Source organism: Homo sapiens, chromosome 14 (assembly GCF_000001405.40).
Source record: "Homo sapiens chromosome 14, GRCh38.p14 Primary Assembly".
Taxonomy (NCBI): Eukaryota; Metazoa; Chordata; class Mammalia; order Primates; family Hominidae; genus Homo; species Homo sapiens.
In genome coordinates, this window is record NC_000014.9 from 19,360,435 (window position 1) to 19,384,911 (window position 24,477).

General features: G+C 41.1%; 2 long non-coding RNA genes and 1 pseudogene across 4 annotated transcripts in view; 1 reads left to right on the forward strand and 2 right to left on the reverse strand.

The window, feature by feature from the left end:
* Positions 1-23,854, reverse strand: part of LINC01297-DUXAP10-NBEAP6 (LINC01297-DUXAP10-NBEAP6 readthrough) — a 115,486-nt gene extending 91,632 nt beyond the window's left edge. For 2 of the 3 annotated variants that reach the window (NR_164308.1, NR_164309.1), the window contains exon 1: positions 20,743-23,854. This is a non-coding gene — a long non-coding RNA (LINC01297-DUXAP10-NBEAP6 readthrough). Of the gene's footprint in view, positions 1-7,758; positions 7,825-15,307; positions 15,578-20,742 lie in introns of all 3 variants that reach the window. The other variant, NR_164310.1, reaches the window with a different exon arrangement.
* Positions 1-23,854, reverse strand: part of LINC01297 (long intergenic non-protein coding RNA 1297) — a 39,960-nt gene extending 16,106 nt beyond the window's left edge. Inside the window, exons 1-3 of the long non-coding RNA NR_164166.1 lie at positions 20,743-23,854; positions 15,308-15,577; positions 7,759-7,824 (exon numbers count right to left, since the gene is read on the reverse strand). This is a non-coding gene — a long non-coding RNA (long intergenic non-protein coding RNA 1297). The remainder of the gene's footprint in view (positions 1-7,758; positions 7,825-15,307; positions 15,578-20,742) is intronic.
* On the forward strand, positions 11,383-13,062 carry GRAMD4P3 (GRAM domain containing 4 pseudogene 3; annotated as a pseudogene).
* Positions 23,855-24,477: the final 623 nt, after the last annotated feature.

Consider the following 24,477-nt stretch of genomic DNA (forward strand, 5'->3'; position numbering starts at 1 on the left):
AGGACTGGGAGTTCTCTGGTCACAAGCGTTCTGCCTTTGTTTTCATGAAGCTATGTCTCTTACCTGGTAAGAAAAATGGAACCGCATGCAGCTGCTGAAAACTTTAACCAGAAACCCAAAGATGTTGGCACAAAGAAAGGAGGCCTGAAGAAAACAAGTGACCATGAAAACACATTTAGCTCTTAATCTGACCCATTTCTCATGGGCCAGGCCTGGTGCCAGGAATGCGGTGATGAATAAGGCCTGAGCTGAGATTGTGAGGATGAGAGGGAGTCCACCCTGTGGGGATCTGGGATGATAGAAGGGCTCCACAGATAGAGGACCCGGGTGGCCAGAAGTTCTGCTGAGTGGAAAAGGGCTTGGAGTAACTGAGGTCAGCTGGATTCCTTAAACACTGCCCAGAGCCCTTGAAGCCATCTAAGGGCACACTTCTCAGGGCTGCTCTGAACCACACTCAACTGGGAATCTTTTAAGGACAGCTGCTGGGTTAGGCTTGCCAGAGATGGTGCAGTTTTTCCCCACGGCGGTAGAGGAACAGACCGCCTCTGTGCAGGAGCGGGGCCTCACAATGCCTTGGACTAGGGCAAAGGAGGATCTCCGCCTCTCCCCGTTCTGGGCTAAGACATGGCAGGACGCCGACCCATGGCTCCATGGACTCTGGCACCAGAGGACCCCCACTCTCCAGCGCCCTAGACTGAAGCAGAAGACCCCAGACCTGCTCCGCCCTGAACGAGAGTACAGTGGGACCCGCGACCCGCCCTGGCCTCAGGCACTGGAGGACCCCTGCAACGCCATGCGCTAGACTATGCTACTGAAGGACCTCTCCCCCGGCTCCGCCCTGGACTAAGGTACCAGAGGATCCCCGCCCCGCCCCGCTGTGTCCTGGCTGTGCCACTGCAGAACCCCCACCCCTCCACACCCTGGACTGTGGCTCCCGAGGACCTCGGCCCTGGCTCGCCCTGAGCTATTCCTGCCCCTCTGTGCTCTGGACTGTGGATCCAGAGGACCTGGTCCTGAGGCAACTTGGGCTACCGCGTGGACTCCAGGACCTCAGTCCCGCCGGGCCCTAGACCAAGACAGGGGAGAACCTCTGACCCACCGCCCCCTGGATAGGGCACCAGAGGACCCACATCTTGCCGTGCCCTGGACTACAGCACGGAGGGACCCCGATCCGCCGGGCACTGGGCTCCTGCACAGAGGAACCCCCGCCATGGAGATCTGGACTATCCTTGCCCCACCGCACCCTGAACTACTGCACGCCAAGACCCTCGCCTGAAAGCGCCCTACCCTCTGGCATGGGGGAACCCCGCCCCGCAGAGCCCTGGACTCTGGCGTTGGAGTACTCCCACTCCATTACGTCCTGGACTTCTGCACCAGAGGACTCCTGCCCCACCGCACCCTGGACACCTGCACTAGAGAACCCTGCCCCGTCGCCCCCTAGACTATGGCCCGGGAGGATCCTTGCCACCGACTTCGGAACAATAAGGCCCCTGACCCGCCATGAACTGGATTCCAGCACTGGAGGACCCCCTGCCACGGCGCTCTCTGGGTTACGGCTGCCCCACCGCGTCCTGCACTACAGCACAGAAGGACTGCCGTCCCTCCGCGCACTGGACTGGGGCACAGCAGGACCGGGGTCTCGTGCGTGGTGGACTGCAGGCCGAGGTGACCCCCTCCCCGCCGCGCGTTGGACTATGGCACAGGAGGACCACCACTCCCGCATGCCCTGGACCACTGCAGGACAGGTCGCCCACTCCGCCGCACCCTGGAATATGGCACTGGAGGACCCCTGCCCTGCCGCTCCGAGGACCCCACCACCGAAGACCCTCGTCCCCCTGCGCCCACGACAAAGGCAAGCGAGGACCTGGCCTCACCGCCCCGTGGGCTATCGCATAGGAAAACCCCCACCCCACCCCCACCCCGCGCCAGAGACTCTGACAAGAGAGGACCCCTGCCCCCTGCTCCCCGGACTACAGCGAGGCAGGAACCACACTCCTCCCAGGTCCTCACTATGGCAACTGTGGACCCCCGCCCTGGTACCCATGGACTAAGACACTGAAGGACCGTGACCCCACCACGCCGTGAACTCCAGCATTGGAGGACCACTGCCTTACTGCGGACTCAGGCACTGGACTATCGCAGGGCAGGATCCCTGTCCCGCCATGCCCTACACTATGGCACGGGAGGACCCAGCCTCACTGTGCTCTGGACTCCAGCACCGGAGGACTCCTACACGGAGGACTCCCGTTCTGCCACGTCCTGGACTCCTGCAGAAGAGAACCCCCGCCCCGCTGCACCCTGGATATAGCAAGGCAGGAATCCTGCCCTGTCGCGCTCTGGACTGTGGCACCTGAGGATCCACGCCCCAGCGCGCCCTGGACTACTGCTCCGCAGGACTCCTGTTCTGCTGCACCCTGGACTACGGCACCAGAGGACCCAGCTCCCGCCGGCCTGAGCTATGGCACCAGAGGACCCAGCTCCCGGCAGCCTGGACTATGGCACCAGAGGACCCAGCCCCCCGCTTCCTGGGCTAAGGCACAGTAGGACCCTGCCTCATCGTGTACTCCTGCTCAGGAGGACCCTCGCAGGGCGGCGCACTGGACTAAGCTACTGAAGGAGCCCCACCCCTGCCTAACCCTGGACTAAGGCACTGGAGAACTCTTGCTCCGCAGAGCCACGGACTCTTGCACAAGAGAACCTCAGCCCAGCCGTGCCCTGGACTGTGGCACAGTAGGGCCCACACCACGCCATGGACTCCTGTATTGGAGGAAGAGTAGTGATAAATGTCCAGGTTTACAACTTGAAAAGTAGCAATCAATGTGCCACAATAGATGGATGCGATGTAAAATTATAAATGATGAAAACATTATGTGTAATTGCCTAGCCAGAACAGTTACACAAGACAAAGACGTAAAAGAAATCCACATAGGGAAGGAAGAGGTAAGATTGTTTCTGTTTTTTGAAAATATAATCTTAAGATAGAGAAAATCTTAAAGACTCCACCAAAATAAATGGTTATAGCTGATGAAGAAATTCAATAAAGTTAATAGTTACAAAATCAACATACAAATATCATTATTGTTTCTATTAACTAATGACAAACTATTACCTGAAAAATAAAGGCAATTCAATTTATAATAGAATCAAAACAGATATATAAACATATAAAAGACAGGAGTAAATTTAATCAAAACCATAAGAGATTTACATACTGAAAACTATAGCACATTGATGAAAAAAATTAAAATGGCATAAATAAATGGAGAAACATCCTTTATTGATGGATTCAAAAATTAGTATTGTAAAAGTGTCAATGCTACCCAAAGCAATCTACAGATTAAATGCAACCACTATCAAATTCCAATGTCATTCTTCACAGAAATAGAAAAATTACTGCTAAAATTTGTATGGAACCACAAAAGACCTGGACCAACCAAAGCAATCTTGAACAAAAAGAACAAAGCTGGAGGCATCAGACTACCTGACTCCAAACTCTATTACAAAGCTATAGGAATTAAAACAGCATAGCAATGGCATAAAAACAGACACGTAAAACAGTACAAAGGGATATAGAACCTGTAAATAAATCCGTGTGTCTGTGGTCAATTGATTTTTTGATAAAATAACTAAAAATACACAGTGAAGAAAGAAAATTATTTTCAATAAATGGTGTAGACAAAACTGACTATCCACATACAGAAGAATAAAATTTCACTTTTATTTTGCTCTTTATACAAGCATCAAATCAAAATTAAAGTTTAAATGTAAAACTACTACAAGGAAATATAGAAGGAGACTGTATGACATTGGCCTGAGCTATGATTTTCTGTAGATTATTCCAAAAGGCAACAAAAGCAAAACACACAAATGAGACTGCATAAAACTTAAAACTTTTCCACAGGAAAAGAAGCAATGATAGAATTAAGAGAACCCACAAATGGGATAATATTTTTAAACCATACATCAGATAAGGGGCTCATATAATAATATATAAGCAACTCAACCTACTCAAAAATAAGAAAAAAACTATGCTTATTAAAAAATAAGCAAAGAATCAGAATAGACATTTCCTACGTCATACAAAAGGCCAACCAGGTACATGAAAAAATCATAAACATTCCTAATTATCAGAGAAGTGCAAATCAAAGCCACAATGAGATATCACCTCACACATTTTACTAGGGCTATTATAAAAAAAGATGGAAGATAAGTGTTGGTGAGGATGTGGAGAAAAAGAAACCCTGTACACTGTTGGTAGGAATGGAAATTAGTACAGCCATCTTGGAAAACAGTACGAAGCTTTCTCAAGAAATTATAAATATATTTACCCTATGATCCATCAATCCCACTTCTGGATATGTGTCCAAAGGAATTTCAATCAATATGTCAAAAAGAGACATCTGCAATTTCATGTTCATTGCAGCAATATTCATAATAGCCGTGAATTACAAACAACCTAAGTGCCTATCAACTGAAGAATGGATAAAAATATGTGGAAAAATTGGAACCCTTCTACACCACTGGTGAGACCTTAAAATGTAAAACAGTCTGGCAGTTCTTCAAATGGTTAAACATAGAGTTATCATATGACCCAGCAATTCCACTCCTATGTATTTACCAAAAAGAAAAGAAAACAAATGCTACACAAAAAGTAGTACACAAATGTTTATAGCAACAAAAAGTAGAAAAGAACAGAAATGTTCATCAACTGAGGAGTGGATGAATAAAATGTGGTGTGTCTATAAAATAGAATCTTATTTCTTAACAAAAGGGAAAAAAGTGTTAATGCATGCTCCAAAATGGATGAACATTAAAAATATGTTAAGCGAAAGAAGTGAGTAAGAAATGACTATGTGTTATTATGATTCCGTTTATGTGAAATGTCCAGAATAGGCAAATTCATAGTCAGAAATTAGATGAGTGGTCACCTAGACTAGGAGGGGTTTTAAAAAGGCTGGAAAAAATAGGGAAAGATTGCTAATGGGTGCAAGTCTCTTTTAAGGGCATTAAAATGTTCTAAAATTATCTTATGAAGATTATTTGTCCACCCAGTTAATATACTAAAAGAATTTGAAGTTTGTACTTTAAATGAGTGAATTACATAATGTATGAATTATATCTCAATAAAGCTGTGGAAAATTAAAAGCATATGTAGGATGCATACAAAAATACTACTTATCTTTATAAATGAATGAAATTCTGTCATTTGCAAAAACGTGGATGAATTTAGAGGACATTATACTAAGTAAAATAAGCCAGACACAGAAAGACAAATATCTCATGATACCACTTACATGTGAAATCCAAAAATGTGCACTCATAGAAGTTAAGAGTAGAATGGTGGTTTATCAGAGGCTGAGCAGGTCGGGTGGCGGGGGTGGAAAAAGGGGAAATATTCAATGGGATAATGCTTCAGTTAGGAGAAATACATTCTGGTGATATGGTACACAGCAAAGTGACTGCAGTTACTCATAATATAGTGCATATCTTAAAAGCGCTAAAATAGTACATTTTAAATGTTTCACCATAATGTAATAAATATCTGAGGTGAAGGATATGTTATTTAGCCTAATTTGTCCACTTCACAATATTTACATGTATTGTACCACATTGTACCCCATATATATTTATCGATAAAAACAAAATTTTCAAAAGTTAGAAAAACAGATGTGCTAGATCTTCATCTAAAGACATTTCTGAGAAAAATGTATCTGTTTTCTTTCAGAAGAAATTTACACTTAATAGATATTATGGTAACTAAAGTAAGGCAGATAATTTTGGCCATCAGCTTATATTGTGGGATAATCTCTTTTTGCTGACCTTGAAAAGCTGTGGCATATTCACAACAAGTAGGAAAATTTTTTTATCATGATCAGGTAAAGGTTCTGCATGCTTCTATTTTGAATAATATTTTCCCCTTAGAATCACAAAGTGTGAATGCCTTTTATTTCAGAGGTCTAGCCCTAAATGGTTTAGTCAATTACATCATGCATTCTGAAATAAGTACTGGTGCATTTGTGAAGGTACTATATATAATTGTGTTTTTAATTTAACCATCATGTAAGTCTACTTTTCTAGTTAAGAGTCTATATTTTATAGAGGCCCTCCATATATATAGAAGAGCTTTTCTGACAGTATATCCATTAAATTGCAAAGATAAATAAAGGAACAATTTTGCTTTCATTTTTTATTATTGTTATTATTTTTCAAGGCTAGTCAAGTGAAGCAGTGGGAGTGGAGAAGGAACTGCTTTCATTTTTATATGTTGGTGTTACAGGCTGTATGTGACAGGCTATATATTTGTCTGCTGAATTTTAGAAACAAAGTGAAATATTTATTTCATATTTCATTAGATAGGGATGATGATTACATTGAGGGATTGGGACTAGACTGAAGGCACCACATCATCAATCACTTGGAAACAAAATTTTGCCTATGTGTTATGTTATATTGGCAAAAACTTTTATTGTGTCAGGCGATATAGCTCCCTATTGAAATATGTGAAAAATGCAGAGAAAAAAAGGCAGGATTGGTTATCAAGGGATATTTAGGCCTGAGATACATGATGCAAATATTGAAAACGTACACTTTTTAAAATTTAGATTTAAAATGTAAATTGAAGCAGAGCATTTAGAAAAAGACATAATATCTACTATAAAAGTCCTGGGTTAGAAAAGTTAAAATACTAAATGAAAAAATAATGCTTCTTGGGTGGCTTAAAATCAAATATGAGACAAAAAATTACTCAGAAATTTTTCTAAGATTAAAAACATGTATACAGTTTCTTTGATACAAAATGAAATAAATGTCTGGATGTAACTTTAATAGAATAGAATAGGGAGACAAGGGCAAAGAGCAGGTGTATGCAGAATGAAGTGAACATATTATTGTAACAATGAGAGGGACAGAGTTGAATGACTGCTCTTGGAGACAAGGAGTTTTGATGTCTAAGTTAATGACAAATCTTTTGTTTGCAAGTTAAAAAAATGTAACTTAAACTTGGTGAAGGAATAAAGGGTGGTTGGGGGGATGACTCTTTGTACATTAAACTTGTTTTAATGACTAATGAATTAATCATAAGTTCAAATGATTTTATGGAGGCCCTTTCTTTTTTATTTGATGTTTCTGGACTCCTTTTTTCTCTGTATTTGCTCCATTTTTACCTACTTGAACAATTTTTACCCTCGAAGTTTAGGAAACACTGTAACCAAATGTGCCAACATGATGTGATCCCTGAAAGCATTTGCAGTTGGGGGATTAGAAGAAAAGGGCTTTCTCTTTCAACAAATGCATGTTAATCTCGATGAAAACTCAGAAGTTTAAACATGGTCCTCCTTGGGTCATGTGGCTACCCCAGGACCAATCATTGCACAAACATAGGAGATAATCTCAAAAGCCAGGCTGGAGTCAAGGTTATCCAGTGGAGTTTCCACTTTAGAAATCAGTTTTGTCAGCCTTTGTGTTTGCATATTACAGACATGATAGCTGTCTATTCCACTTCTATTAGAGATGAAAACTAAGAGCATATGCCCATTCAGAGGATTTTACATGAATCTTCATAGCAGCTTTACTTGCAACAGCCAAAACCTGAAAACATTCCAAATGTCCATGGCAGGTGAATTTGTGACTTATAAACTTACTATGGTATACGTATATAATGAAATAACACTCCCTAGTAAGAACAGAACAACTGATAGATGTAGCAACATGAATTAATCACAAAAATAGTGATGCTGAGTGATCAGAAAGTATACATACCATATGATTTCATGTATTTGGAAATAAAAACTCATGGATAGTGACTGGAAGTGGATCAGTGGTTACCTGTGGAAGAGATGGGGGGATAGGCAGGAAAAAGTGAGTAGAAAAAACACAAGAAAACTTTGGTGGTAAAGGTAATGGATATGTTTGCTATTTTAATATGTTGCTGGTTTTATAGAGCTACAAATGCCAAGAATTACCAAAATGTACAATTGAAGTATGTGCAGTTTATTGCATGTAAATAAACCTTTTAAAAATTAACCGATACAAGTTGACTTACATGACCAGAAAGCTCTTGAAAAACTCTCCTGTTTTCTCCCCTATTTTTATTCTTGCATGCCCTTATAGACTGTGTTAACACATTTCTCATCTTACGGTTCTTTTGTGTCTACATTTCTCCAGGTCAATATAACTATCACCATGATTTCTTGGTTTCTCTTTAGTTCATCAGTAATTATGAGTAATGTGTTGAAATGTTAATGATATGTTCATGCATTCAGAATCCTCTGCTCTCCGATCTACATAATAGTGAATTATGCTGTCAACGATTACACAGTATATTGCTTTTTTTTTCTTTTTTGAGACAGAGTCGCGCTTGGTTACCCAGGCTGGAATGCAATGACACATTCTGGGCTCACTGCAACCTCCACCTCCCGGGTTCAAGTGAGTTTCCTGCCTCAGCCTCCTGAGTAGCTGGGATTACAGGCATCTGCCATCATCCCCGGCTAATTTTTGTATTTTTATTGGAGACAGGGTTTCACCATGTTGACCAGGCTGGTCTTGAACCTCTGACCTCAGGTGATCTGCCTGTCTTGGCCTCCCAAAGTGCTGGGAATATAAGCATGAGCCACCATGCCCAGCCAGAATATTGCTACTTTTGCAAATAGCTACAAATGATCCTGATCTGGACACACTGAGTTGATCATAGCTTTGTAAAAGAGGATAGCATTGTAAAACTACAAAATTAGACTAATAATAAATAACATAGAATGCTTTCACTATAAGAAATAATACTATCCTAAGCAAAAATAAATAAATAAAACTGGAGGAATTATATTTTCTGACTTCATATTATACCACAGAATTATAGCAACCAAAAGAGTATGGTACTGGCATAAAAATAGACTCATAGATCAATGGAACAGAATAGAGAACCCAGTAACAAATGTACAAATGTACCTACAGTGAACTCATTTTTGACAAAGGTGCCAAGAACATACACTGGTGGGAAATGGTATTGAAAAAACTGGATATCCATATGCAGAAGAATGAAAACAGACTAGTATCTATCACCAAATACAAAAGTAAAATCAAAGTTGTTTAAAGATGTAAAGCCAAGACCTCGAACTATAAAACTAGTACAGAAAAACTTTGGGGAACACCTCCAGGACATTGGTCTGGGCAAAAATATCTTGAGCAATACCCCACAAGCACAGGCAACCAAAGCAAAAATGGACAAATGGATCACATTAAGTTAAAAAGCTTCTGCACAGAAAATGATACAATCAACAAAGTTAAGAGACAATCCACAGAATGGGAGAAAATATTTGCAAACTACTCATCTGACAAGGATTAATAATCAGAATATATAGAAAACTCAAACAACTCTTTAGGAAACAATCTAATAACCTAGCTAAAAAAAGGGGGGCAAAAGATTTGAATAGGTATTTCTCAAAAGAAGACCTACAAATGGCAAACAGGTATAAGAAAAGTGCTCAATATCACCGATCATCAGAGAAATTTAAATCAAAACTACAACAAGATATCATCTCACCACAGTTTATATGACTTGTATGCAAAAGACAGGCAATAACAAATGCTAGCAGGGATGCAGAGAAAAGGGAACTCTTGTACACTGCTCCTGGGAATGCAAATTAGTAAAACCACTAAGGTGAACAGTTTGGATGTTTCTCAATAAACTAAAAGTGGAGCTACCATATGATCTAGCAATCTTACTGCTGGGTGTATACCAAAAATAAAGGAAATCAGTATGTCAAATACATATCTGCACTCCCGTATTTGTTGCAGCACTGTTTACAACGCTAAGATTTGGAAGAAACCTTAGTGTCCATCAACAGATGAATGGATAAAGAAAATGTGGTACATATACACAACGGACGACTATTCAGCCATAACAAAGAATAAGATCCAGTCATGGTCAGTAACATTGATGGAACATTATGGATCATTATGTTAAGTGAAATAAACCAGGCACAGAAAGACAAATGTCACATGTTCTCACTAATTTGTGGAATCTAAAATCAAAACAAACTCATGGACACAGAGAGTATAAGGATGGTTATCAGAGGCTGGGAAAGGTAGCGGCAGGGGGTGTTGTGGGAAGGTGGGGATGGCTAATGGGTATAAAAATAGAGAGTTAATAAGACCTACTATTTGATAGCACAATAGGGTGACTATATTCAATAATAATGTAATTGTACATTTTGAAATAACTAAGACTGCAATTGAATTTTTTATAACTTGAAGGATAAATGCTTGAGGGGAGGGATACCCTATTCCCCATGATGTGCTTATTTCACATTGCATGCCTGTATCAAAACATCTCATGGACCCCACAGATACATACACATACTATGTACCCACAACATTTTTAAACAATCTAATACAATTTTTTAAATGGCACTTACTTTTTGTTACCTTCAACTATTGTAAAATATATTCTATTATTTATGATTAGCCCTGTTGGAAAACAAATTTTAAAAACACTATTTAAAACCAAATAAATGGACTAGGAGTAACTTGCATAAAAATGACAGAAATTGCTGCTACTTCTTCTAATTATTGAGATGGTATTTCTATATTTGTGAAATTATCTGTGATAGAAAGTTGAATTGTTTCCAACATTATTTTTATAATTAAATGTTATATTGCTATTTCTTTAAAAGTAGCCTTTAAAATATTACCAATCTACTTTAAAGTCTACTTGCCAAAATGTTAAACTATTCTTAAAAAAAGTAATTTATTTAATTACCTAACTTCCTCAAAGCAATGTCCTAATTTTCTCAAGCAATTATCTGATTTTCTCAAGCAATTGATATTAGCAAGTTGTGCTAGTTAACTGCTGAGAATCATGGTCTACATATCAGATAAACCATCTGTCAATCCTTTAAAGAAGACTTTATGAGCCTTAGATATGTTAGTCCAATCTGTATCACTGACTTTAAACACTGGATCATTGACACTCCATGTTGCCTGTAAGCCTATTTCACAGCAGCTGAGTGATGTTAATAGGTACTTCTTGGAGTGCCATTTTCCTTGTAACCCTTAGATTAATTCAGATTGACTGAGTTCTGTGTCAGTGGAAATTGCCAGAATTACATCATTGTGCTTTGCATCTAGTTTCACTTTTCCAAAAGCCTACACAGATTTCAGATGTTTAGAAAATAGCTCTTGTTTTCCTTCTGGGTAATCTTTTTCATGTCACCACTCTTGTCAGCATCTGCACTGGGCAAATTTCCTAGGACCTCCCTTCTGCTTCTTTTAAAATACGAAAACAAAATCAATGTAGCGCAGCAAGCCAGGGAAAGTCTGCTTTGATTGACTTACGACCATAGTCACCCAGCAGTTCCTTCAGAGGTGGCTTCCCAAGTCAGACACTGAGTCCACGCGCTGTCCGCCTGCCTGCAGAAGTGGCTCTGAGAGCTGTTTGAGGAGAAAATGGGGGACTTTGGGCTTCAGCCCGAGGAGAACACGGTGGAGATGGAGGAGCCCCTGGGGGTCCGCAGGTTAACTGAAAACATGAGAGGACACAAGCGCGGGACCAAGTCTGTCACTAACCTGTAAAGAACTCTGACCAAGCTGACTGGGCACTCTGTCTGCGCGCCTTTCTTTGCCACCACGTGTGCGGGAATGCCTGGGGCACGACTGGGCCATCTCAGTGTTCTTGTTTCTAGCCATTCCGAGGTTACCCCTCAGCAAAACGCCAGAGGCCGGCAGACACAGTGGAGCATCCTGCAGTAGGAATCCGAAGCCGTGGAATCTCCAAAGGGCCACGACTGCTTCCCAGAAGCTCTAGCACGTTGCCCGGAAAGCCCAGGTGGTCTTTGGCAAGACCTCCCGGATTGTGGTTTTGATTTGCATTTCTCTGATGACCAGTGATGATGAACATTTTTTCATGTGTCTGTTGGCTGCATAAATGTCTTCTTTTGATAAGTGTCTGTTCATATCCTTCGCCCACTTTTTGATGTGATTGTTTGATTTTTTCTTGTACATTTGTTTAAGTTCTTTGTAGATTCTGGATATTAGCCCTTTGTCAGATGGGTAGATTGCAAAAATTTTCTCCCATTCTGTAAGTTGCCTGTTCACTCTAATGGTAGTTTTTTTTTTTTTTTTTTTTTGCTGTGCAGAAGCTCTTTAGTTTAATTAGATCCCATTTGTCAATTTTGGCTTTTGTTGCCATTGCTTTTGGTGTTTTAGACATGAAGTCCTTGCCCATGCCTATGTCCTGAGTGGTATTGCCTAGGTTTTCTTCTAGGGTTTTATGGTTTTAGGTCTAACATTTAAGTCTTTAATCCATCTTGAAAAGTTAATAATAATAATGATGAAATATGGAAGAAATAAAAAAAAAAAAGACCTCCCGGAGACCAGGAACTTGGTCGGTGCTTGCGGCCTGAGATCGAGCTCTGGGGCACCTTCCCGTCCTTCTGCTTTTTCCTTGGCCGCCTTAGGGGGCGCGCCTCGCCATGGGTCTCCCTGCAGGCGGCGCGGTGGTGCTCCTGGATGTCACCTCCAGGCGCTTTTGAAACTGCGACCGGCACCGGGCGCCCAGCACCTGCGGATTGGCCTCCCCACGCCCGGCTCAAGGACCTCCAGCACTCCGCAGTGCGGGCTGCAGGCCACCTCAACGTGGAGCTGCTGCCAGCGCCACAGGCCCCAGGGACGCCCAGGATCTGCTTCCCAGGCCCAAGAAGGGCTGTTTTGGAAAGTCTTTGGCGTGATGGAAGGCGGCGCCCATCCAGGGCGGGGCTAAGAACTAGGCTGGCGCCGCTGCCTGGTAAGCGGGGACCAAGAGGCCCACGGCCTCCATCAAGAACCAGGTGCTTCTCCAAATCCCGGACTTCAAGGAGCAGCAACGGCGTCAAGCTGGCTGACACCAGGAACACCCAGAAGTCCCCGCTCCTGTCTGTCCTTCCGCACTCAGGAGCGGGGATGGCCACAGGGACACCATCCGCCCACAAACCGCTGGCCTTTGCTGCCATGGTGCGCGGAGATGCGGTCCCCGAGGCCACTTTCGGCCAGGACGCCGGGATCTTATCAGCGGCAGCATCCCGCCCTGACACTCAGTATTGACTTTCCCCAGACATTGCTGGATTTTTTTCCTTTTTAAAACAATTTTGCAGTGGGAGAACAAAAAAGGGCATCCTCAGAGCTTTTACAAAATTCTCCTGGACCTGTGGTTCTATGGTGTTCACCTCTGCGTTTTACTGACCACTAATTGGCCAGAGCTCCTAAGGCCTATAGGGGTCCCCCTGCCCCACCGGGTGCTTTAGACACTCCTGAGGGACATTCATGGCTCAGGAGGATAAAGGTCCTCAGGGGCCTGCTGTGAGGAGGACATGCAGCCCCTCTGCCGCCGCATCTTCCGCCATTCCAGCCTGGAAGGAGAGACCATGCCCTCCACCCCACAGGCCTTCATGACCTTGGGACCCACTCTTTAGAGGCCACGTGCGTTTCCACTGCCAAAGCAATGACACAGGAGATGGAAAGAAATTCTTGGCCTGGCGCGCTGGCTCACGCCTGTAGTCACAACACTTTGGGAGGCCAAGGCAGGCGGATCACGAGGTCAGGAGATCGAGACCATCCTGGCTAGCAAGGTGAAACCCCGTCTTTACTAAGAACACACAAAAAGTTGGCGGGCGCCTGTAGTCCCAGCTACTCGGGAGGCTGAGGCGGGAGAGTGGCGTGAACCCGGGAGGCAGAGCTTGCAGTGAGCGGAGATCACGCCACTGCACTCCAGCCTGGGCAACAGAGCGACACTACGTCTCAGAAAATAAAAAAAAAAATTTTGCCTTCACTATATGTCCAAGTAATTTCTCGATTAGAGCCCAGAGTCGTGGGGCCCACACCGCCAGCTGACACATGAAAGTGTGGCAACGATGTGGTGGTGTCTGTGTGGCAGTGTGTCTGCATTTCTGTGTGGTGGTGTATCTGTGTGGCAGAGTGTCTGGTGCTATGTCCATGTGGTGGTGTATCTGCATGGTGATGTCTCCGTGTGACAGTGTTTTGTGTATCTGTGTGACAGTGTCTGTGTGTCCTTGTGTCCACATGGCAGTGTGTGTGGTGGTGTGATGGTGTGGAGGTGTGTCCATGTGACAGTGTGGCAGTGTGTGTGCCAGTGTCCATATGGCAGTGTGTCGGTGTGTTCATGTGTGTGATGGTGTGTCCATGTGACAGTGTGGTGATGTCTCGTGTCCCTGTGGTAGTGTGACAGTGTGTCCATGTGGTGATGTCTCCGTGTGTCTGTGTCCCTGTGATAGTGTGGTGGTGTGTCCATGTGATTTCTCCATATGTCTGTGTGTCCGTCCATGTGACTATGCCAGTGTGTCCGTGTGACTGTGTGACGGTGTCTCCATGTGGTAATGTCTCCGTGTGTCTGTACATGTGAGTCTGGTCATGTGTCCACGTGGCGGTGTGTCCGTGTAACAATGTGGCGGTGTTCCCTCTCCGGCTTGCGGAGCTAGCATCTTTCTCTCTCAGCCCAGGACGCCTGAAGAGGCCCCAGCTTGAACATAAAGTATTGATATTTTACACATTTGCACATAATTAGAATTTTGAAGCCGTAATTTCAGATAAGGTGTCTAGGACATAACAATATTGATGTAAGAAAGCCATAAGCAATGTTTATTTTCAATCAGATTTACTAAAAAATTTTATTGAACTGGTCAATTTTCTTTGCCAATATTACTGTATTCTTATTTCTAGTAATAGAAGTGTGAAAAAGCATCAAGGAAACTTAAATTGCATTCTCATACTGACTGCATACAATAATTCTGAAAACAGCGGAAGTTATATATATCCCTCATAAGTAAAACATGAGTAACACAACAAATGAAAAACGAATAGGAGACAATTCAAATAATGGCGACCTGTTATTCTCATCTAGTTAAGTACTATTATTTTCTAACAGGAATTTGCTATTTCAAATATATTATCTGAGATGTCTATATATTTATATTTTGAGATACTATACAAATTTGAGCCAATGACATAGAATTTTACAAATCAAGAAGCTTATTCTGGGGCCATTTCTTTTGACGTTTTCTCTAAACTACTAAAGAGGCATTAATGATCCATAAATTATATTATCTACATTTACAGCATTTAAAATGTGTTCAGCATGAAATATTAGCTACAGGGGAAGCTAAATAAATTAAACATGGAATAAAGATTTGTCCTTAAATATAATCTACAAGAAGACTTTGATATTTGTTTTTCACAAGTGAAGCATTCTTATAAAGTGTCATAACCTTTTTGGGGAAACTATGGGAAAAAATGGGGAAACTCTGAAGGGTTTTAAGTATCTTACCTGAAGCTACAGACTCCATAACCTCTCTTTACAGGGAGCTCCTGCAGCCCCTACAGAAATGAGTGGCTGAGATTCTTGATTGCACAGCAGAGCTTCTCATCTAAACCCTTTCCCTTTTTAGTGTCTGTGTATCAGTATAAAAGTTCTATAAACTGTAGTTACTTATTTTAATCCCAAAGCACAGTAACAATATACTTCATCCTAGGGTTGGCAGTTTCTCTGAGTGTTTTGTTTAATTATCATTATTATATCTGCAGGATTCCAAAGCGCCTAAAAAGTAAAATATTTTAAAAAGGGGAAAGAGAGAAAGAGGAAGAAAATAAAATTAATAGCCCATTCTGTCACTGTTATTACACACCAGAATACCTTTTTGTTAATCTAATTAAAATTAGTGACATCATTTAACATTTATGTCTTCAACAAAAGTTTGGAATCCTGAAAAAGCCATTTAATTTGCTAATAAATATATTTGAATTGAATTGAAATCCTTATGTATTACTTTAAATAAAGAACACAAGATGAATTATGATGTAGAAAATTCTATCCCTCATTGTCCAAAATCTAATACTTAAATTGAACTTGTTAAATAATATTTTTGTCCAGGCGTGAGGCTTACACCTGGAATCCCAATAGTTTGGGAGGCAAAGGCAGGTGGATTGCTTGAGCTGAGGAGTTGCAGACCAGGCTCGGCAACATGGTGAAACCCAATCTTTACCAAAAAAAAAAAAAAAAATTAGCCAGGCATAGTGGCTTGCCTGTAGTCCCAGCTACTCAGGAGGATGAGATGGGAGGATCACCTGAGCCTGGGGAAGCTGGGGCTGCAGTAAGCCATGATTGTGCCACTGTACTCCAGCTTGGGCAACAGACTGAGACCCCGTCTCGAAAGAAGAAAGAAAGAAAGAAAAGAAAGAAAAAGAAAGAAAGAAAGAGAAAGAAAAAGAGAAAGAAAGAAAGAAAGAAAGAAAGAAAGAAAGAAAGAAAGAAAGAAAGAAAGGCAGGCGAGAGAGCGAGGAAGGAAGGAAGCAAAGAAGGAAAGAAGGAAGGGAGGAAGAAAAATAATGGTTTTGGTGCCAATAATCTTTGTGGAATTTTGCTTTAATGAAATAGATTTAACTAAGTAGTGACATGATCTACTTAAGTTTATTGACCCTAGCAATCAGAGGCATCTGAATCCCCACAATGACTTGACACTTACATTTGACAAACATTGATTCTCCTATCATACCTATGGCATAGTCGGAATTTCAGAATTCCAACTTTCCCTATGCTATTTGAGCACATTGCTTAACATCTCTAAGACTCGATATTTTTACTCTTAAGATACTACAAATAATAGTACATAGTTTATATGATATAATGTGTATCAAAAAGCATTATACTTTCAGGCAGACAGCAATTTCTCAATAAATATTTGCTAATGTTTTAGTACAAACAGGAGAATTGGATTATGATATTTATGACACTGTTGATCCTCCTTCTAGAAACATTTGTTTCTAAAACTTGTTTTCAAGTTAGAGCACTATTTTGTGTTCAAATTGAAAATACTATATGTTCAGATTTTTTAAAAAACAGTATTGCATTAATGTTTTAATAAAACATTCCTAAATGAGCTTGAGCAAGGAGGATGGGGAGATAAGTAAAATAAGGCTTTGTGGCATAGGAGACATTTGGTGGAAATCTTTCAGCTCAACTAAGATTTGAAAAAAAAAAAGAGAATTTTTATAAAAAATGTAAAGGCAGGATTTACCCTGATGAGCTTGTGGAGAAAATACAAAGTCTAACGTAATTCAAAAGAGACTAATCAGTCAAAGTAGTTTTGAAGGAAATATTTTGAAGAGAGAGAACATAAAATGAAGATCAGGTATGTAATTATTTTAATAATCTATCCATGAGATAAAAAGCATTGGGTTTTTTTTTTATTTGTCAAAAAGGGACAATAGTTTTAAGAACCATTCTTTGTTCAGCCTAAAGAGGATTTTACATTTTGAGCCAGTGACATATTGTGCTAAGTAGGATAATATCCTAATTTCTGTCTATATCAACAATTTTGTTCTCAATAAAAACACTTTATTCACACAACTGATGATCATCTGCATTTGATTTAGTGCTGAACTGTCAAAGGGGGGCTAATAAAAACAAAATATTAGAGTTGCAAGTGGCATAAGTGGAAAATAATGATCATACTCATCACTACTGAAATAATAAAACAAAGCAAAAAATAAATAAGAAAAAAATTGACTACATGAACATTTGCTTCTCTCCTAAGAATCAAAACCCTTCGTTTTCTGTGGCAAAAAAAGCATCTGTGTCCATGAACCCACGCAAAAGTCTACTGTTTCTGGGAGATAAGAAGCAGCAAAACACATCAGCTTTCCGAGAAGGTTAAGAAACCTCTCATACCCTACCCTATCCCACCTGAGACCAGGCAAAGGATCACTGCTTCTGGGGGAGGGATGCAAGAAAAATACTTCTCCATCAGGAGAGGAACAAGGATTGTTTTGGGGCCCAGGATTTTGCACTAATGCAGAGTTGTGCTACTGTGGTAAAGGGTTGGAAAATCTCCATCCAGTGACACAGACAAAGGTACATTGTTCCTATGGAAGAAGAAATAAAATAGTATGTCCTTAGTGTGGGGTTGAAAACTTGCAATGATATAAATCAAAGGTTTTCTACCACTGAGGTGGGAGGAGGGCAAGGTATCATTTCTTCCTCAAAAAACAACACAGATAAGAGACAGTTTGATTCCCACTAGAATAAGAGTCAGGAAGTGCTAAAAATACCCCTTCTCTGAGTGTCCAATGATGAAACTGGCTCAAAAATAACATGAATCATCCCTCTGCCCCCAACCTGAATTTTCTGCCTAGTCACACACACACACACACACACACACACACACACACACACACACACACACACACACATACAAAATGATGTTCTACAGTTAGAGAGGAACAAGAAAGTGGAGAGAGACCCTCCTATGACATATGTGGTAAGGACTACGGAAAGATAACTGGAACAGGAGCACTGGAATATGCCCTCCAGAGCCTAAGGCCCCACACAAGGCACATGATATAGCAGCCTGCTGCTGGAGAAATCTGAGTTACGTGGTTCACTGAATGTTTCAGACACCGTGGCAAAAACCAACCTTTGTTCCTGCCCACACTAATAGCATGACACAAACCAAAATGAAACATAAATATAAAACAATCTCAACATAAACAATTATCTCATGATCTACTGATTTTCTACATCTGATGATCTGCACTTTTTAGAAATTGGGAGACACATAAAATCAAGTTAGAAATTTGGGTTATGAGTTATAATATTTTCAAAAGATAAAAAGTCAACAGAATCAAATTCAGAGATAATTCAGATGTTGGAACTAAACGCAACTAATTTAAAATAATAATGATCAAAATGTTAAAGAATCTACTTAAAAAAAGACAACATGTATGGAAAAATGAGGAATTTCAGCAGAGATGGGAACAGTAAAAGGCAAAAGCTAGAAATAAGTGAAAGCATGAGAACAGAAATGAAGAATTACAACAGCAAGCTGATTAGCAGACTGGTCATCAGAGCTAAAGAAAGAAGCAGTAAATTTTATGCTAGGTCAATACAAATTATTTGAATGGTAGCACAAAGGGAGGAAAGAGAAAAACAAAATAAACCAATGAGCCAAGCAAATAAAATACTCCAGTGAATCCAAGAATTCTCTGGTAACATGAAATTAAGTAAAATACAATTAATTGGAATTCCAGGAGAGTAAAAACAGAATGTAAGGGAAGGAAAATTTGAAAAAGATGACTAAGGAGACCAAATAAACTCAAAAAGATCCAAGAAAGATAAATACAAAATTTAAAGAATGCTAGAATAATCACACTAGCCAAACTGCTGAAAACCAACGATTAGCAAAAATCTTGAATTCAGTCACAGAAAAATAGGAACACTGTGTAGAGAGATAAACAGAAATAGACATTACAGTGAACTGCGTGTCAGCAACTCTACAAGTCAGAAACCAATGATACAAAATTTTTAAATAACTTAAAAAAAGTCAACCCCCAATCTTACATCCATTAACTATATAGTGAAAATAACAATGAAATGAAGACATTTTCAGATTAACACTGCAAGAGTCCCTTGCTAACAGGTCTGCACTAAAATAAATGTCAAAATCATTTCTTGAGGCAAAAGGAATATGGAAGCAGATGAAAGTTGAAACTACACAAAGAAATAAAGAGTGCCAGAGAAGATATAAAGATATATAGCCCAATTATTTTACATTGCTCTAAAGATAATTGTCTTATTTTTTTTAAAAAAGAGTAACTTTATATTATGGAATTCATAATATTTGAGACTATAATGCATGATATAAATAGTATAAAGGAGAGAGGAAACAAAAATATACATTTTAAGGTTCTTATACCATAGTTGGTATAATACAAATTATAGGTTACTATAATAAGCTAGAATAGGTATTTAGGTATTGAAATCTCTAGAGAAACCATGAACATTTCCAAAAGATGGTATGTGCATTAATATTTTCATAGAACTTCCAGCTTTTGTTTTTCTTCATTTAATTTTATTTATTTATTTATTTATTTATTTATTTATTTATTTTTGAGATGGAGTCTCGCCCTGTTGCCCAGGCTGGAGTGCAGTGACCTGATCTCAGCTCACTGCAACCTCCACCTCCCAGGTTCCAATGATTCTCCTGCCTCAGCCTCCCAAATAGCTGGGATTACAGGTGCCCACCACCATGCCTAGTTAATTTTTGTATTTTTAGTGGACATGGGGTTTCACCACGTTGGCCTGGCTTGTTTCAAACTCCTGACCTCGTGATAGGCCCACCTCAGCTTCCCAAAGTGCTGGGATTACAGACTTGAGACACTGTGCTAGGCCCCAGCTTTTATTTTTTAAGGTAGTTGTTGTGTTATTACATGTGAAGTAAGGTTAATCTTGAATATCCACGTTTTGAGAATAATGACAAATTAATTTATCTCAACCTAAATAACATTTTATTATTGAATATTTAAATATTTTTATTATTTTTACTTTTTAACAGAAGTCATTCTAACTGGTGTGAGATGGTATCTAATTGATGTTTTGTTTTGCATTCTCTAATGATTAGTGATGGTATGCATGTGTTAATATGTTTGTTGGCCACGTATGTGTTCTTTTGAAAACTGTCTGTTCATGTTCTTTGCCCATTTTTTAATGGGGTTATTTTTTGCTTCTTGATTTGTCTAAGTCTCTTATAGATTCTGGATAATAGGCCTTTGCTGTATGCATAGTGTGTGAATATTTTCTTCCACTCTGTAGGCTGTCTGTTCAATCCCCCTTGAGAGTTTCTCATGCTGTGCAGAAGCAGCTCTTTAGTTTAATTAAATCACACTTGTCAATTTTCATTTTTCTGGCAATTGCTTTTGAGGACTTACCCATAAATTCATTGCCAAGTGCAAAGTCCAGACGAATATTTCCTAGGTTTTCTTCCAGGATTTTTATAGTCAGAGGATGTAATCTTATGCCAACGGGTCTTAATAATCAAATGACTCCACAGTGAGAATCATTACTCTGAAAAATTGATTTTGTTAGAATGATGGAAATTTAAATATTTGAAAGTAAAAACACATGCCACCTTTTTCCTAGAACTCTGCAAGGCAAATTGCTGTAAGACAGGCAGAGGAAGCACAATATATATATATATCCAAAATATAATTTGCAGTGAAATAAATGAAAGCAAATTATAAATAAACTTACCTGATTTTACAAACTAACCTTTAAAGGGATTTCTACTAATTTTTCTATTGCCTGAATTGCCCTTTCTTCTAGATCCAATTTATATTTTTGTACTTCACCAATGTGTCTTCACCAATGTGTACTTTCCATATGTTTTTTAAGATTTAATATTACTTTTTCCAACATCTTCTTATCCTCTTCAAGTTTTTTATATTCCTGTTGTATTTTTTTCATAGATAATAACTCCTGTTGAATAACTTCTTTTTAGTCAAATAGACATATTTTGAAGATACAGCTTTCAGCTTTGCTGTAAGATCATCGAACTACATTAATAAAATAATATAGCTTGATAATGAAGTAGGCTGAGAATAATCTCATACAAAACCAATAACAAATTTTGAAATACATTTACTTGCAATAAAATGTTATCTATAATGTAGATTCTTTAAATGTTAACCCGTACTCAGAAATGCAAGAACAAAGTAAAAGCCACCATGAGTCACAAACATATATTCTTTACTCTCATCATCTTTGCCACAGAACTTTTGCACTTGATCTTACTTTTGTTTTTCTGATAATTTGTGTTTTTTCCTTTCTTAAATGGCTCTAAGTTAACTCTTATTAGAAAGTTTCAAACCCCCTTCTCTCATCATCATGCCCCAAAATTTGTCAAAAAAAAGTTTCAGAGATATTATATTGAGTTATTTAGGCCAAAGGCAATAAATGGCTCTTACAATAAGACTTTGAAAATAATGTAATACTCTACAATAGGCATGGTGTATCATGCATATAATCCTAGCACTTAAGGAGGCTGTGGCAGAAAGATCCCTTGAGGTCAAACATTTGAGATCAGCCAGAGCAACATAGTGATACCATAATCTCGACAAAAAAAAAAAAAAAAAAAAAAAAACGTGAAAAAATTAGCCACGCATGATGCCTTATGCTTGTAGATCCAACTGGTTGGGAGATTAAGGCAAAAGGATGGCTTGCACTCAAGAGTTCAGGGCTGTGGTGAATTATGATCAAACCACGGCACTTCTGCCTCGATGACAAAGACCATATCTCAAAAAAACACAAAATAATCCTATAAATAAGGATTCTAATGCCACAAGCCTTTCCATAGGCTGTAAATGTTTTATGCTAATTTGAATTGCATTTTAAAAAGTAATGATTCTTGGGGTAAAGGCCATAGAATACAGTCCCAAGAAATAAATCCACATATTTACCTTACAAGAAATAAATCCACATTCTTGTGTTACAAGAGCTCCTGAAGGAGACACTAAACGTAGAAAGGAAAAACCAGTACCAGCCACTACAAAAACATATCGAATTGTAAAGACCATTGACACTATAAAGAAACTGCAAACTAATGGGAAAAATAAAAAGCTAGCAACATCATGACAGGATAAATTTCACCTGTAGCAATACTAAACTTAAATGTAAATGGGCTAAATGCCCCAGTTAAAAGACACAGACTGGCAAGTTGGATAAAGAGTAAAGACCCATTGTTGTCCTGTATTCAGGAGACCCATCTCATGTGCAAAGACACACATAGGCTTAAAATAAAGGGATGGAGGAATATTTACCAAGCAAATGGAAAGCAAAAAAGAGCAGGGTTTGCAATCCTAGTCTCTGATAAAACAGACATTAACTGAAAAAGATCAAGAGAGACAAAGAAGAGCACCACAAAGCAGTGCCATCTGCTTTTCCTCAGGCCTCTGCTCCATCAGCTGGCAGCCACCCAGGATGTTGGAACCTGGCCATCCCTGCTTCTTTCAGTGGGTGAGGTTGGTGGCTGCTCCACCTGCTCCAGGCACACCCTTAACAGAGGTGGCTGCTTGCTCTTTAAGCCAGCTTGGCCTTGCCTGGCATGCACAGGCCCCGGGGACCGACATGCTGCTCTGACTGAGACCGTCCTGACTTTGTCAAATTCTACGTCTGGCCTGGGCCACAGAAGCACAAGTCCCCTGGGTGGTACCACTGGCTGCTTTCTGGACTGGAACATAAAGTCCTCCTCAAGATGACCTGTGGTCTGCCTCTTGGCAACCAACAAGCCCGCAGTGTCATACGACCCATGAGACATGGACTGAAGGCCCAAAGGGAGTGCACACCATGTTCCAGAGCCAGCTGCTCCTTTCCTCTATATGGCCCCATTTGCAGCACAGTTGTTGCACTGAGGCTTGTGCATGCTGGGCAAGGGCAAGCTGGCTCAAAGGGCAACCAGCTATCTTTGCACGGATGTGCCAGCAGCAGGCAGACCAGCCATCAACCTCACACGCTGCCAGTCAGGCTAAATCAGCTCTTCTACCATAAAGGTAGGGCCACAGTGCCATCTGGTTTTCCTAAGGCCTCTGTTTCTTCAGCCATTAGGTGGCACCCACTCAGGCTTTGGGAACCTGGCTACCCCGGCTTCCTGGAGTGGGTGAGCTGGTGGCTGCTCCACCTGCTCTAGGTGCACCCTTGCAGAGGTGGCTGGTTGCTCTTTGAGCCAGCTTGGCCTTGCCTGGCATGCACAGACCCCAGCTACAGACACGCTACTCCAAGTGAGCTTGTCCTGTCTACGGCCAAATTCTAAGTTTGGCCAGGGCCACAGAAGGCAGAGTCCCGAGGGTGGTAATCCTGGCTGCTTTCTGCACTTGAACATAAAGTCCTTCTCAAGACGGCCTATGGTCTGCCTCTTGGCAACCAAGAAGCCCACAGTGACATAAGACCCTTGAGGCAAGGACTGGAGCCCCCAAAGGCAGCATACACCTTGCTCCTGAGATGGCTGCTCGTTTCCCCTATATGGCTCCACTTGTAGCACAGTAGTAGCACTGAGGCTTGTGCATGCTGGGCAAGGCTAAGAGGGCTCAAAGAGCAACCAGTCACCTCTGCGAGGGTGTGCCAGGAGCTGGGGGCACAGCCACCAACCTCACTCGCTGCAGGACATGGAACATCAGTTCTTCTAACAAAAAGGTAGGGCCAAGGGCCATCTGCTTTTCCTAAGGCCTTTGCTCCATCAGCCATCAGGTGGCAGCCACTCAGGCTGTGGGAACATGGCCATCCACTTCCTTGACTGGGTAAGGTTGGTGGCTGGTCCACCTCCTCCAGACGCACCCCTGCAGAGGTGGCTGGTTGCTCATTGAGCCAGTTTGGCCTTGTCTGGCATGCACAGATTTGAGGTACTAACACGCTGCTCTGAGTGAGCTTGTCCTGCCTTGGCACAAATTCTATGTCTGGCCAGGGCCACAGAAGACCAAGTCCCCTGGATGGTGATCCTGGCTGCTTTCTGCAGTGGAACATAAACTCCTTCTCAAGATGGCCTGTGGTTGGCCTCTTGGCAACCAAGAATCGTGCAGTGGCATAGGAGCCCTGAGGTATGGATTGGAGAGCCGAAGGCAGCGCATACCCTGCTCCTGAGCCTGCTGCTTGTTTCCTCTCTGTGGCTCCATTTG